General features: G+C 49.4%; 1 long non-coding RNA gene across 2 annotated transcripts, besides 5 other annotated features; it reads right to left on the bottom strand.

The window, feature by feature from the left end:
* Nucleotides 88–589: an enhancer, noted in NCBI's record as "H3K4me1 hESC enhancer chr1:203265487-203265988 (GRCh37/hg19 assembly coordinates)". NCBI's record gives its function as "activates a minimal SCP1, AML or CMV promoter by ChIP-STARR-seq in primed H9 embryonic stem cells {active_cell/tissue: H9 hESC(primed)}" and the evidence as "EXISTENCE:reporter gene assay evidence [ECO:0000049][PMID:30033119]".
* Nucleotides 6,234–6,633: a silencer, noted in NCBI's record as "silent region_1718". NCBI's record gives its function as "represses an Ori minimal core promoter by ATAC-STARR-seq in GM12878 lymphoblastoid cells {active_cell/tissue: GM12878}" and the evidence as "EXISTENCE:reporter gene assay evidence [ECO:0000049][PMID:35858748]".
* Nucleotides 6,844–7,403: an enhancer, noted in NCBI's record as "active region_2343". NCBI's record gives its function as "activates an Ori minimal core promoter by ATAC-STARR-seq in GM12878 lymphoblastoid cells {active_cell/tissue: GM12878}" and the evidence as "EXISTENCE:reporter gene assay evidence [ECO:0000049][PMID:35858748]".
* On the bottom strand, nt 8,150–9,796 carry LINC01353 (long intergenic non-protein coding RNA 1353). Of its 2 annotated transcripts, none has more exons than NR_117097.1 (3): nt 9,637–9,796; nt 8,642–8,959; nt 8,150–8,443 (listed from the first exon to the last, which is right to left on the bottom strand). It is a non-coding gene; the product is annotated as a long intergenic non-protein coding RNA 1353 (long non-coding RNA). The 2 variants fall into 2 exon arrangements; NR_117098.1 differs by lacking the exon at nt 9,637–9,796 and adding an exon at nt 9,117–9,248 and having other exon boundaries at nt 8,698–8,959.
* Nucleotides 8,791–9,990: an enhancer, noted in NCBI's record as "CDK7 strongly-dependent group 2 enhancer chr1:203256086-203257285 (GRCh37/hg19 assembly coordinates)". NCBI's record gives its function as "activates an origin of replication core promoter dependent on BRD2, BRD4, P300/CBP, MED14 and CDK7 cofactors, with strong dependence on CDK7, by STARR-seq in HCT116 cells {active_cell/tissue: HCT116}" and the evidence as "EXISTENCE:reporter gene assay evidence [ECO:0000049][PMID:35650434]".
* Nucleotides 13,604–13,653: a silencer, noted in NCBI's record as "silent region_1717". NCBI's record gives its function as "represses an Ori minimal core promoter by ATAC-STARR-seq in GM12878 lymphoblastoid cells {active_cell/tissue: GM12878}" and the evidence as "EXISTENCE:reporter gene assay evidence [ECO:0000049][PMID:35858748]".

Raw genomic sequence — 15,474 nt, 5'->3', positions numbered from 1 at the left:
CTTCCATTTCTGCTGTCAGGGGCCAGCCACTGCCTTGACGACTGCAGAGTGGTCTTCGTGTCTCGGAGGGACAGGGCCTCCAGGGTCCTGGATGCAGGCTGTGTGCTCCCCTAACTCACCTCTTCATCCTCTCCATGTTACTCTGCATCGCGTTGGCCCACACAGGCCCACTCTCCTGCTGCTGGGAGGGAGGGGCTGGAAAGTGTTAGGAATTCATCAAGCTTGTAACTAAAGCTGACTCTATGCCAGGCCCCATCTGGGGAAGGAATCTGCTCCCCCCAAAGGCATGTATTCCCCTGAGGGTTGCTTCTCAGCTGCTGTGCTCTACTAACCCAGTAGTGTCTGTGGGAAGATGAATGATCTGGGCTTCTCACCCTCCTTTGCCACCCTGGCTGTGTGGTCAGGGAAGGGTGAAGGCAAGAAGGATGGCGGAGGGTACAGGAGAGACAGTGAAGACGGGATGAGGTGGGAGCTGGGGAAGGGGAAGAGACGTGGACAGATGGCCAGACCAATATGGCTGGAAAGGTCCCTAGTGATGTGTTTTTGTTTCTGCGACTCCCTCGGTGTATCAGGAGCAAAAGGATGGGAACGATCTGCTAAAAGTCTGTTATCCTGGAGGCCCCCCAAGAATGTGACCTCCCACACCTTCTCCCTCTAGGCCTTCTCCTATGGTACGAGAAGGTGTGACTGAAAGTGCCAGAAACTCACAGGGGAACACATGGACTTGGGACAGAAGCAGATCTGAAGCTGAATTTATTGCCTCTTTCCCAAATTTAGAAGACAGACATGTTGTAAACCCTCCTCATCCTCACTCCCAGGGGCCCAGGATAAACCCCCTTTATCTCCAGACAAAAAACAAGAGAAGAGGCCCTGAACCTATTGGAGCTTCCCCAGATGTTGTTTTGGCAGAGCCGTAATGGGGCTGGGCCTCCTGGGGCTGAGTGTCTGGGGCAAGCAGGAAGCTGGCATCACAGCTGTGACAGCCAGAGACCACCTGGGGGATGGGGGCTGAAGGGAAGAGGAAGACAGATTCAGAAAGGAGGACACAAGAAAAAGTCTAAAGAAGAGGTACTGCAGCTTCTCACCTGTGGCCTCCTGGCTCTGGGCCTGAGGTACTTCTCTACTGCACCATGGGTTCAGGTCCAGGGATCCGTGTGGTTTGGAGGAAGGAGCTAGGAGAAAGGGAGAGATGGTTGGAGTTCCCTGAGCCTTAGTTTGCTTATATGTAACAAAAGAGTATTGGGCTAGGAGACCCACCCTGCCTCTTAATCTGTCATCTATGGTTCACATTGATGACTCCTTGGGTCCTAGTGGAATACGTGATCACCTGCCAGCAAGAGAGGATTTTCCTGATGAGGTGACAAGATATCCTGGAGCCCTACTTCCTGAGCGGATCCCATATCCAATTACTGGCCCAGTCCTGTCAGTTATCCTCTTGAAATACCTTCTACTCAGCATCACTGAAGCCACCAACTGTTAGATCGTTCTTGGATAGTTTCAACAGTTCCCTAAGTGGTCTCTTTGCCTGAAGTGCTTCCCTTCCTGCCCTTTCCTCAGTCCATACTCTGCTGTCAGAGCTCCTAAACTACAGGTCTGTCTTGTCTCTTTCATGTTTAAAAGCTCTGAAGGCTCCCTACAGTTGAAAGTTTAATTCTTGGTTTGGCCTTCAAGGCCTTTACAATCTGGCCCAACCTCAAAGCTCAATTAACCCATTCTCAGTGTTTCTCAAATACATACTTTGCACTTTCATACCATTGTGCCTTTGTAGTTTCAACAGTGAGGTCTTGCCATGTTGCCCAGGCTCTGGAGTGCTGTGCTTACTCACAGGCATGAACATAGCTCCCTACAGCATCAAACTCCTCACCTCGAGTGATCATCCTCCCTCAGCCTCCTGAGTAGCTGAGTGCCCAGCTTATTGTACCTTTACTCATATTATTTGCTCTGCCTGAAATTCTCTCTGTTCAGCTCTTTGTCCATCAAAAAGCTGACTAATTATCTCCGTGCAAGTGATACAGAAGGAGTGAAAACATTATTTTTCCCACATTATTGAAGAAAAAAGTAAGGAACATATAGGGCAATGGACATGTCAGGAAAGTCTCTAAAAAGGGGGCTGGGGTAGTGGGGTGAGAGTGGGCTAGGGAAGGGTGGGAAAGGATTCTAAATCCTACTTCCTCCATCCCTTCCACTAAGAATAAGGTTGGGGAGGAGTGGAAAGGAATCTTTATTTAGATTAAGAATGGGTGGCCTGAGCTGCTTGTTATGATATATTAGTCTTTTTTTTTGAGACAGGATCTCACTCTGTTGCTTAGGCTGGAGTATAGTGGCATGGTCTCGGCTCACAGCAACCTCCATCTCCCGTGTTCAAGCTATTCTCCTGCCTCAGCTTCCTGGGTAGCTGGGATTACAGCTGTGCGCCACCACACCTGGCTAATTTTTGTTATTTTTAGTAGAGACGGGGTTTCTCCATGTTGGCCAGGCTCGTCTCAAACTCCTGACCTCAAGGGATCTGCCCACCTCGGCGTCCCAAAGTGTTGGGATTATAGGCACCTGGCCTTATATCAGTCTTGTTTTGATGATGACTGGCTCCGATGGCATATAATTATGCTTTTTTACATTGGTGTCCCTGGATGGGCTAATTAAGTTTTTGAACTGACGGATTTGTTCTAGTGCGATGGGCAGAGCACATCCCTTAAAGCCACACTGCTTAGGTTCAAATCCTAGCTGTGCTACCTTAGGCAAGTTATTGAAGCTTTCTGTGCCTTAATTTCTTTATCTATAAAATGAGATTAATAGTAATTCTTACCTCTTAGAGTTGTTGGGAGAATCAAATGAGTTTACAATACTTAGAATAGTGTCTGGCACATAATAGTGGTCAGTACATGTTAACTATTATTACTTATAATTTATACTTTGCTTACTTCCAAGAAGAATTTGAGACAGCTTAAAATATTAAACCACATAGAGGATGATTTTATGTGTGTGTTTATATTATATTAAAGATCAGAAACGAATTGGTAGTAGGAGGAAGAAAGAGAAAGATAGATATTTACAAACTTGTTTGAATCAGATACTTCTTTGACACCTAAATTTATCTTTGAACTTCCAGGAAGCCAAGGTAAAAAGGGAAATACCTGCATTATATAGTTTTCATTGTGAAATATAAAAAAGCATTCAAGTTAGCCTGTTAAAACCCACCCCCACCAGCCCGCTACATCCACACATTCCTCAAGAAGAAATTTATGATATGAATCCCTATGTTGGAATACTGGAGCCAAAGAGTCTGAAGTTGTTCTCAGTTGGCATTTAGTATCTTCCTCAATTGGGTTTACCTTTCATAAGAGCCCATAACGACAACAGAAGTAATCAGGATAATGGCTGGGATAGTAACAATCAATATCATCTCTACATTTCTTTCTATCCTTATTTCAGGGTTTCCTTCCTTCCCTCTTGGCTCAGGAACTCTCTGAGGTCAGGGGTTGAGCCTCGCTCGGTCAAATAGTCAGGTGGCCCCAGGTGGTTTCAGCTGCCTCCCTGAAGCATTAGAGTTGTGTAGAAGCAAGGTGGAACCCATGGCAAAAACTCATGAGGTGAATGGAGACAGGAAGGTTATGAGGTATGTCTAAGAGGGCTTTGAGACGATTGAGCTCCCAAACATGTAACAGAATGATTATCTTAGTGGGAATGGGTAAGCTCCTAGAAAGAGAACAACTCTGTGTCCCCTATTTTTTGAATTCAGCAGAATCTATTGTAAGTCAATATCCTTATGTAAAAACATTGCATAAGTCCAGGAAGACCACCACCACGATCTTCCAGCCTGACCTGCCAGGCTTAAAAAAAGCGGCTCGGCCAGGCGCAGTGGCTCACACCTGTAATCCCAGCACTTTGGGAGGCTGAGGCGGGCAGATCACCTGAGGTCGGGAGTTCAAGACCAGCCTGACCAACATGGAGAAACCCTGTCTCTACTAAAAATACAAAATTAGCAGGGCGTAGTGGCGCTTGCCTGTAATCCTAGCTACTCGGGAGGCTGAGGCAGAAGAATCGCTTGAACCTGGGAGGCAGAGATTCCAGTGAGCCGAGATTGTGCCATTGCATTCCAGCCTGGGCAACAAGAGCGAAACTCCGTCTCAAAAAAAAAAAGAAAAAAAAAGTGGCTCTTTGCCTACGAACTTACACACTCAGAAGCTTTGGACCTATCTCGTTGAATTCTTAGACAGGTTCAGAGGTGTGGCTGGAGGTTAGAGCTGAATTACTCCACAGAAGAAAACAAGAGGAATCTATATTTTTGTTCCTGAGAGAGAGCAGCAAAAAAAGGGGGCTTGAGTAACCTTAAAATGGTGTTGGGAGGGCCTAGAGCCAATGTGAGAGAGGAAGCCGAGGGAAGTTTAAGAACAGAAATGCCCAACACTCCCTTTTTAAGCTCTTTACATTTTTGCAAAATTAACCCCCTCAGGAGACCCCAACCTTCACTAAAGCCCATGATGTATATACAGACCTTGTAAGGAATTCATATGAAGAAACAAGAGACAGGCCTGACACGGCTCACAACAGTGAGAGCGCTCAGGGTCAGCAGGATGATTCCCAAAAGGAACTGACTTGAGATCCCAAAGCCAGAGGCACTGATGAGAAGGAATGTCTTCTCCACCCTCCATCCCCACTTCCAGGGGAATCTGGAATATTTTGAGGAAAACTATTGGATCACTCATCGATCTTCGAATAAAACATTGAACCAATCTTGCCCAGCACCTAAAGAGCAGTTGGGCACAGCTGACGAACAGTTTACCCACTGGGAGCATGGAATTAGGTGTCACCTTCAAATACCTGATGTTTAATGAGGACAACCATCTCCAAAGGGAGGATACCTGCCTGCCCACTGTGCAGTCTACTTCTTGGCTACCTAGCACAGTCCTCCCTGAGAGAGGGTTCCGTGGGGGCTCGTTGAAGCCAATGAGTGGGGAGGAGAAATGCTGCAGAAATTTACCATGTCTGGCTGGCCCTATGGCTCACTGCCATTTATGTATGGGTCACATGGGTCACAAATCAATCACTTGACCTCGTGATCTGGATACCTTTTGTCGTCTTTGTCCTAGAGTGATAAGAGGAAGGAGATTTAGTCCCCACCCTCAGAGGTAGAGAGTGTGGGTTCTTCATTCTGACTGGGGAGAAACGGTTCCTGCCCACAGGACGCTGCAAGTTCCCAAGGAGGGAGAAGCATCCACATCGAGGACACAGACGCAAAGCTGCCAGGAGACAGGCAAATATGGGCAGAGCCACACTGCACAAACACGATTCACAATTAACCAAGGAGTTGGAGTGAAGGTGTCAGCAGGAAATAGCTTGTTGGGCCTGGGAGTTTTGAGCTGAGCTGGATTTGGAAGGAAAGAGTTCTTACTAGCAGCAACAGAAGACAGTCATGTGCTGCACAGTGTCCAGTACTGTGCGAGGCGTTTGCACGATGACCGCTCACCCGCGGTTCCCCTCCCTGCTGGAAGGATCATCTCCAGCATGCTCACCACTTGCTTACTAACAGAGGCCCCAGACAAACAGCTCGCCACAGTACACACAAGAGGCAAACTCCAGATGACTTTATTTACACAGCTTAAGCTTTTCAACAGGGTCAAAGGGCATTCTCACAGCACATGGGTGTGGCCCGGGAAAGGCAGGTTCTGGAGGGGGCTCCTGAACAGGTTCCTCCTCCCTGGCACCAAGTGACCACCTGTAAGTCTGAATAGCACTTTACAGCTTGCAAAGCTGTTTTACACCAAGCAGAACACTCATCTAGTCCTTACAAGGCTCGAGGGCAGTATCCTCCATATTTTATGGAGAAGGAAGCTGGGGCCTGAAGAATTATGAGACAAATTTAAGGCCCCAAGGCAGAGGCAAGGATGTCCTTTCTACCACCCAACAGTGGCCTAGCATCACAGCCTTCCGGCCGTAGACTTTGGGATGCAGAGCATTCAGGGACTATCAGAGTGCATCAGTGAAAGGCCACCTGGTCATCTGCATTTCAATCTAGCTCTGCACATTTCATGAGAAACCCAAAGAGGGAGGATGCAGAGCGACAGCGTCTGGGAAGGCTGCCCGCCTGGGCTCTGGCTCTTGAGAGGAGACAGGGAGGCTGGCCTCCCTTTTCCAAATGCGGGTCACCTTTGCCCCGGCCTGGGCATTGTTTGGGAGAGGAGAGCCTGGCCCTTGATGGCTGGCAGCTGTTGCCCTCCCCAAGAGCGCCCCTGCCCTGCCGGCCCCTCCGGAGTCTGTGCCCATATAAGGGAAGCACTTCCCGGCAGCTGAGGTAGAGGCTGTGACGCCCCCAGTCCACGTCAGCGGCCGGCGGGAGGCGGGAAAGCCCAGCAGAAAAACAAGTGACGCGGCGCGGGAGGGAGGCGGTGGGTGGCAGGTGGCGGGAGGGAGTGGCCGCGCCTGCCTCGTTAACCCCTGCCCAGGCAGCTGGAGCCAAGGACTGAGCGCAGCCAGCCAAGGTTGTGGGCTGTCTTTGCCCTTCTGTGTGAATGGGGGTGTGGAGTGGGGAAAGTCGGGGGCCAGGGGCTGCGCTGGTGACACCTGCCTGAGCACTTCTGTCCTGGGGTGGGTGCAGGTGTTTGTGCTCTGGAGGACCTGCTCTTTGGGCGTCCAAATGTGTTTCACAGCCTGTGCATTTTGCCTGGTGGTGTCAAGGACGCATATGACATGGACAGCCATGGTGTGTATTTTTACTGCAGAGCCCAGGGATTTTCCCATAGGTGTTTAAAGACAATCACATCTCCTATTGAAACTCAATCTCTTCTGTCCTGAAACAAGCAAATAAAAAGAAAAACTGGCATCTGTGTTTCCAGAGAATCCCAGAAAGTCTCAGAAGAGGCACTGCTGTAAGGCGACTGGCTTCTCATTAGCCAAGTGGCCTCCCCATGTCTTCCCCAGACCAGTCAAATAAAAAGGTCTGGCCTAGGGGCTGACGGAGAAGCAGCCTGAAAAACGAGGGTTTCCAGAGGCCTCCTGCCAGGCAGAGGCCAAGAAAAAAACAGAAAAGGAAGAGAAACTGCGATGAGAACTCAGGGCTCATCATGGAGCCTTCACTGTCCTGGGGCAGGTTGGGGGAGGCGCTCTGATTTCTGAGTCCAGCTGAGCACTCAGATAAAGCCTGTTGGAGTGCTGTTCTCAGAGGCCTGCCTCGTCTCGCCTGAAATTATGGGTGTGCGTGCCTGCCTGTGGTGGGTTGGGGAGTAAATTGGGTAGCTCAGCCTCCGGGGAAAGTCCCCAGGGCCTCCCAACCATCCCTTCACACCCACAGTGCTTAGCCACCCACATTCGCTCCTCTATCTAAGGTCTACTTCCTCTCTCTACTTCCCCTGGCCCAGTCTCTCCACGGTAGAGAGTTGTCTGGGGGGACAACTCACCCCATCCCCAAGCTCTGGGTGCTGTGATAGAGTGGGAGTTTGAGGCATGAAAAATAGCTAGTGGCCCTCCTTGGCAGGGCATTGGCCGAGGATGTGGCAAGTTTGCTTTGGCTGTGGGCACGGTCCCTGTCTCTGAGGCTTACCCTCACGGTGGCTGGTGAACATGGTTTTATGCCTGGGAATTTTAAAGGATGTGGGAGGGGCCTTCCTTCCTCAGGAGCCAGTGTCCTGGGACTGGATGATACCAAAGGTGTTGAAGAATAAAAACAATGGGGTAATGTTTGTGTTTCTGCCTGGACAGTACTGCATAGCGGTTATGGGTGGGCTTTGGGGTCAGATGGGACCTTAGCTCTGCCACTTGCTGGTAGGTCTTCTGGCAAGTTCCTAACCTCTCTGAGCCTCAATTTCCTTGTCTGAAAAATAGAAGTAAAAGTATTAATCGTATTGATTCTTTTTTTTTTAGGCAGGGTCTCACTCTGTCACCCCAGGCTGGAGTGCAGTGGCAGGATCACAGCTCACTGCAGCCTTGACCTTCTGGGCTCACGCGATTCTCCCACCTCAACCTCTGGAGTAGCTGGGACCACAGGCAGGCAACATCACACCTGGCTAATTTTTTGGGTATTTTTTTGTAGAGATGGGGTTTTGCCATGTTGCCCAGGCTGGTCTGAAACTTCTTGAGCTCAAGCAATCCATCTGCCTCGGCCTCCCAAAGTGCTGGAATTATAGGCATGAGCCACCGCACCTGGCCTGTATTGTTCTTTTGAAGATAAAAGGAGATCACGTTTATTAAGCATTCTGCACATATGTTCACTCTTTCCACAATATTTGCACACCCAGCGCATAGTAAACACATTAAATAGTGGCTTTTATTACTATTAGCAGTGGTAGCAGTATCATAAAAGTCCTCAAGGACACCACATGGAGAGTTAGTCGGAGTCACCAGGTGTTCCAAGTTTGCCTTTGGCGGTCTCCTGCCTCTCAGCTTTCTTCGAGGTTGCTCTGGTACCTCATCACCTCCACCACCTCCTCCACCATCCCGACCTCAGCCTGGCCTGGAAGAAAGTGCAATGAGTGTGGAAGCACAAGACCGATGCTTCCACCCCAGCTTTGCCCTGCCCTGGGCCATTCCACCCTTCTGAGCCTCCATTTCCTTATCACTGAAATGGGGAGAATACTTTCTGGCTGGCTTCGTTTATTGTGAGAGTCAAGAGAATAAACGTTTGTGAAAATACTTTGAAAACAGCCCCCACCTATCAGTTCTCCACCAGGTGAATTCTCCCCTCTCATCCTCGGCACCAGCTCCTACCCCATTCCTCCCCTTCGAGTCTCTCTCTGTAGATTTTCATGGCTTTGGGCATTTTGTTCACAGCTCTGTTGACATTCCCTTGACCTCAGAATTCTGGAGGTGCCTTAATTCCGACTTCCCCTATAGACGCCTCCTCAGGGCAGGAAATATGCCTTATTCATTCATCCTGTGATTCCAGTGCCAGGCCCAGGAAGGGCACATAGTAGGAGCTCAGTCAGCGCTGATTCCCTTTCTTCTACCAGCAAATCCCAGGGATGGAGGCCTGAAAAAGAACCCAGTAGAATTTAGGGGAGCAGACTCTGTCCTCCAAGAGAGAGGGGTTGGGGAAGAAGGGAGACAGGAGGAAAGGAGGGGAGTGGCCCTTTGCTATGCAGGCCAAAGGATGCCCGCTGTCACCACACACAGGCGCAAGGTAATACCAGTCTCCATAGGGTGACATGGTGCTGACTGGTTTTACTCAGCGATCCCAAGGCTGGGAGAACCTCTGAGAGCCTCAGCAGAGGGCCAAGCCACTCTTCCTGGTAGGAAAGCAGACATTCTGCCTAAAAGGGAAGTCCTTGGGTAACAAGTTCCACTTCATCACAGCCAGGGCACTAACCTAAAACCCTACCCTCTCCTCCTCCCCCACCGCACAGGCAAACCATTTCCTCTTCTGCTGAGCTCATGGAAACAAAGAACAGCTGTCCTCTCATTGATTGGTTTAAAAATAAGAGACTCTTGCTTTACCTCCCCAACCCCCCACCCAGACCTCTGATGACCAAACATCTCAGCACAGTCCCCCTCAGGCCTCCACCCACTCCCCTGGGGACAGAGGGGCAGCCCCTGGGCCGCCCACAGGCTCCCTCCTCCTCCCTGTGGGGACCAGCCTCTGCCTGCCACTGAGCCACACCCGTCTACCTTCGGTGGGGTGACTGCAGCTGCCCAGCCACTGGCTCTTACCAGTGTGGCCTTGGCATTCACACTTTGGCCACCATAATTTTGTCTCTGCAGTGGGCCTTGCACAAGGCTGGGAGGAAACAGCCTCTGTAGAAATCAAGGTTTCCTGCTCTGTGAGGGCTGATGCGGTGCCATGGAGATACTTCCTGTGACTTTGCCAGGCAAACTGGAGGCCAGGGGAAAGATCGGGAGTGTGAAGTCCTGACTTCTCAGCTACTCAGAAACCCCTCTAAGCCTCGATGTTTTCATCTGAAAAATGACAGTGGCAAACTGCTTATAGAGGGACTGTCAGGATCAAACGAGATATGGTTATGAAGGCGCATTGAAAACGGTGCCACCATGGACACACGAGTTGCTATTTCTGCCTGCCACCTCCACAGACCCCAGTTCACCACCAGCTGCAATCTCTACAAGTGGCCCTGCCTTCCTGAAAACCCCAAACCAAGACTTGCCTCCCTGGGCATCTGAGTCCACCCCATCCTCTCTCCTCGGGCTTACTTACTCAACCTACACCACAGGGAAATGCACCAGTTGCTTAAGAGGTGTGGAAAGTTTCCTCCAGTTTTTTCCATGGTTTGTGTGCTTGTCTTACCTGTCCCGCCTCCTTCCTAGCACCGTGGGAGTATAAGCTGGCTCCTCTGCAATGGATCCGTGGCCAGTACCTCTGTTCCCTCACAGCACAGGATAACAATAAGTGTGCCAAATGGAAGTGTGCGTGTGGGAGAGGGCACACAGCCAGATGGCTCCTTGGGGCAAAGCCTTATTTCTACCACATAGGACTTTGTAGACAATCACTCTCTGGCTATAGAGGGGTTTTGTGCTCATTTTCTGTTGTGAATCAAGCTAATTTTGGATTCACTGGGATACAATAGTGAACTGAAAGGCAGCTGCCTGCAGGAGGAGCTCAGAGAACCAAGCAGAGCCAAGCCCTGGGAAGCCTTTTAGAGGAAGATTTGCAGAGAAGGAGTGTGACAGTCATAAGTGTCCCACGCTCTCAGTCCTCAGCAGGCTGTCCCTCCCAGTCCCAGGTTCACCTTGCAGAGGTGTGGTGGAGAACAAGCGTGCCCAGCAGCTTCCCGTCTGAAAGCCAACTGGCACAGCCCACCTCCAGTGGGCCACCCATGTTTCTGGGGCCAATGAGCCTCTGAGCTGGGAGGTCCTGGCCAAAGAAATGCCCTCCTGCCTCAGAGAACAGAAAGTTCCAGAAGATCCAGGGTAGCTTTATTCCTGACTTAGCAAGCAGACCTAGAAGTGGGATGGAGAAGGGCTTTTGAATCTCCCTCCAAAGGTCCAGAGAAATCTCCTTGGAAATTTGATTGATTATTGATTATTGTAACAAGAGTTTCTCCTCCCCCAGGAAGCTCACCAGAGTGGTCTTCTTCTAATAGAGGCGGAACTGTGTGATGGGTGGTCGGAGGTTCCGGCTGCTGTGCCAGACCGCTTGGGTTCAAATCTTATCTTTAACAGTTACCTAATATTCGCTGTGCTTCAGTTGCCTCATCCATAAAGTAGAAATTACAATGATATCTATCACATTGGATTGTTTTTGATTAATGAGTTACTATGTGCAAAACACTTAGGGCTCAGTATTGTTATTATAAGAAAGAACTTTACTTAAGAGGCTTCCTAGTTTAATTTCTCTACCATTATGAAAAGAAATTCTCTCCCTGATTCCGACACCTTTGTTTCTTTCTTTTTCTTTTTTTTTCTTTTTTCTTTTTTTTTTTAAGAGAAGGGGTCTCACCTTGTTGCCCATGCTAGTCTCAAACTCCTGGGCTCAAGCCATCCACTCACCTCAGCCTCCCAAAGTGCTGGGGTAATAGGCATGATCAATATATAATATATATGACATTATATATAATATATTATGTTTCTCCTGGCCTCTGAGCTCCAGGTTCAGCAAGAGGAGAATGCTCAGTTCCTTCCTGTGGACTAAAAGCCACAGGAGACATTCATCAACAGCAATGGGGTGATGAGAGCCATTTGGGAGTATTAGGAAGTGGAAGGTCTGAGAACCTTTTCAAACTAAGAAACCCACCTGGCCAAGGTGTCCCTGACTTGACTCATTCAGTCCCTATCCTGCCATATATTTATTATAACTATATTATATCCCAGAACTTTCACATTTATTGTGTTATTTAATCTTCATGATGATCCCACAGAATAGGCTATAAAGATCTTATCAGAGAAGGCAACTGGGACCTTGGGACGGGTCTCCCACTTCCTGTCCTACTGAGAAGGATCCTATCCATCTTTGCCCCAGGCCATTCCACTGAGGAAGCTGCAAGGTGGTTCCATGGAGGACCAGTTCAGAGTCCATAATAACAGGATGACTTAATGACAGGTTGAATCAGTTTGTTATTTGGAGCAGGCACTGCAGGGAAAGGGCTGGCCATGTTAGACGTGGCTCATCCTCTTCCCTCTTCAAAAACACTCCCACTTAATGCTTGACCTCCCAGAATCAAGGAAGTACGTGGCCTTATTGCTAGAGCCAAAATTTGCAGAGTCAAGTGCACATCCAGCCTGCTAACAAGAAATTCCAGGTGCCCTGAGGACAGTGGTGCTGGCCTCAAAGTCACAAGAGCTTTCTGGGTTTAGGGTCACCCTGCACTGATTCTGAGGAATTGGGAGTAAGACACAGACCCTCTCCATACACTTGGCCTGGGAGGATCATCCTGCCCTGCTCACGGGGGAGAGGGACAGAGCCCGTCAGTCCCAGCCCCAGCTCTCCGGCATGATGCCAGAAGTCAGGAGCCTGGTGAACTCTCTGGCTCAGCCACCGACTCTCTGGGTCTCAGACTTCTTCATTATAAAGTGAGGATGTCGGACTAACCGTACCTAAGATAGCCGTGAGCTTGGACAGCCGGGATGACCTTCTCTGTGCCAAATTACCCTAATTCCTTCCATCTTGTGTCATTTGCCTTCCACTTACTGGTCTTATATACATCTTTTTAAAGGATTTTATCAGTTTAGTTAAATTCAACATTCTCCAAGCAGCTGGTATACACCCGACATTGACCCGATACTGGAAAATCAATGGTGCTGAGATATCTGTTTTCAGAGTGCTTCCAGTCTAGCAGAGGAAGGCAGGCAAGAGAACAGACAATGAGACCAGGGTCTCTGGAAGCTGTGGGAGGGAGAAGAACAGGGAAAAGATCCCAGCAGGCCAGAAAGGGTTTTCCTCAGGTGACTTGGGTCTGAGAAGAAACTCACCCCGTTCCAGGAGAAGTAGGGGCAAGGGAGAAGGGGACTAACATTTTTTGTTTGTTTTGTTTTAAGATGGGGTCTCACTATGTTGCCCAAGCTGAAGTGAATGACTATTCACAGATGCAATAATAATGCACTGTAGCCTCAAACTCCTGGGCTCAAGGGATCCCCTCACTTCAGCCTCCTGTGTAGCTGGGACTATAGGTGTAAGCCATTACAACTGGCTGGGGGGACTAACTTGTAAGTTATTATTATTTATTTATTTACTTATTTTTGAGACAAGGTCTGGCTCTATCGCCCAGGCTGGAGTGCAGTGGTGTGATCTCAGCTCACTGCAGCCTCCGTCTCCCAGGCTCAAGTGATCCTCTCACCTCGGCCTCCTGAGTAGCTGAAGCTACAGGCATGCACCACTACACTTGGCTAATTTTTGTATTTTTTGTAAAGATGGGGTTTCGTCGTGTTGCCCAGGCTGGTCGCAAACTCCTGAGCTCAAGCCTCAGACTCCCAGAGTCCTGGGATTACAGGCATAAGCCACTATGTCCAGCCTTAAGTAATTATTTCTAATAGACCAAACACCATACTAGACAACTTATATGTATTATTTCACTTCATTCCTATAGCCTTTTGAGTAAGTATTAAGCCCATTTTACAGATGAACAAACTAACGTTCAGGGTGCCTAAACCCACACTGTAGGGTCAAGCTGAGACTCAAATTCAAATCTGCCTGATTCCGAACCCACGCTCTTTCCGCCCAACTAACAGAGTGTGAAGGGCACAAATAGCTACGACTTTGAATACTGGGTAGGGCCTGGGCCTCCTGGCCTTTTCTGAATCCTCCTGGCTTCTCCCCCAGCCAACAGGAGAACTGTCACTTTAAGAGGCACAGCCCCTTAGAAGGGTTGGTTTCCATTCATTTTTAATGGCCCAGCTGCTGTGGTCTCCCTGCCTCCCCATGGACTAGTCCAGGAGTTTCTCTGCAACTGAGCACTCTCATCACACTGGGGCCTGTCAATGTTTAATGGCAGCAAGGATCTTATCTCGGTTACCCAAGTCGTTTAGATTACTCCTGTGCAGGGTACCTGGAGCATGAGGGAAGGCAGCAGATGGCAGACCCGTCAGTCACCCCTCTGCTCTCTGGAGGGAGGAGGGATTATTGGAGCAGAAAGGGCGAGAGGGTGGGAGAAACAGAGGGTGGCAGGGAGACACACTGTAACAGGACAGAACGCCTCACTGCACGCTTGCATGGCCCTGGCTGTGTTCTCCACCTTCCCTATTCTCAGCCACCTCCCATAGGGGCAGCCCACTGCACATACTCCCAAGGCCCTCCTGGGAGACCCAAAACACAGGGGAGTGAGTGGTTGAATTTCTGTGGAGCTTGACCACAGTAAGTGACCTTTGAGCCCACTCTGGTGTTCCCCCTGGGCATCAGAATCTCTGCTTATTTTCAGGGAGAAAACACAGCACTACTTGTCTCTCTTATGAACTGTTGAAAACTCTAACCTCGGGTGCTCCAGAGACATGAGTGTGTTGCAAAGGTCACACAAACCATACCTTCAGTACAACCTCACGGATTCGTAGATATGTGAGCTGGGTCATGGGGGCAGGGTCCTGGGTCCTGGCTCTAGAGTACCCTGAGAGGGAGAGACAGGTTCTCGCTGCTCCCCCAGGCCCAGGGAATGCCTGGATCAGATAGTCGAGTTCTATTTGGGGAGTAGAACGTCACAGTTCAAACACAGAACCAGAGGCCACTCTGATGTTATTTACAGACCTTGTCTAAAGATCTAGCCTCCAAGCTGGGAGGGAGGGCAGTGGGCTTGCTGCCTTCTCCAATTTCTCCTGCTCTCTGAATTTCTTATATCCTGTCACCATCCCTCACCCTCCTACCTTGTCTCCATCCAGGAGCACCCTGTGCTGCGGTATCTGATGTGTCACTCACAGCTAGGAGCCTGGAAAGAGTGTTCTTAGGACAGAGGGAGGGGATTGGGAGCAGGACAGAGGACCCACCACCAGTGCCAGAGGACCCAGAGAGGTTCCTAGACATGGGGCTAGAGAACTGGGAGTGGGAGAGGGGCAAGGAGGGTCCAGGAAGGCCTCATTGGGTTGGGTGAACATTTCCCTGCCCCGAGTTCTGGGGCTTTCTGCCTGATGGGAGTTACAGTGAAAAACAGCAGGATGCTTTTCTAGGAAGACTTTGGCAGGTTGGGGGTGGGGGCGGTAACGGTGATTTCATAATTATTTCACTCCTAGTGAAATATTTATTTCACTATTAATTATGAAATAGGAATAATTTCATAATTATTTCACAAAAACTTAATGAGCAGCTACCATGCTCTAAAGTACTGGCAAATGAAGGTGAATAAGACAGGGTCTGTGCTGTCAGCAAATGTTCAGTTTATCTGGAGAAACAAGACGGATGCTTCCTGAGTAGTGAGGACTACAGGAACGTGCCACCCCATGCCCCACTAATTTTTTATTTTATTTTATTTTATTATGTGTAGAGACGGGATCTCCCTATGATTCCCTGTCTAGTCTCGAACTCCTGGGCTCAAGTGATTCTCTCCTGCCTTAGCCTCCCAACATGCTGGGATTACAGGCGTGAGCTACCATGCCCAGCGAAGAGCATTGCTTTCTTGG

The sequence above is a fragment of the Homo sapiens genome, chromosome 1, assembly GCF_000001405.40.
Source record: "Homo sapiens chromosome 1, GRCh38.p14 Primary Assembly".
Lineage (NCBI taxonomy): Eukaryota > Metazoa > Chordata > Mammalia > Primates > Hominidae > Homo > Homo sapiens.
The sequence above is the reverse complement of the archived record's forward strand: the minus strand, read 5'-3'. Positions and strand labels throughout refer to the sequence as shown.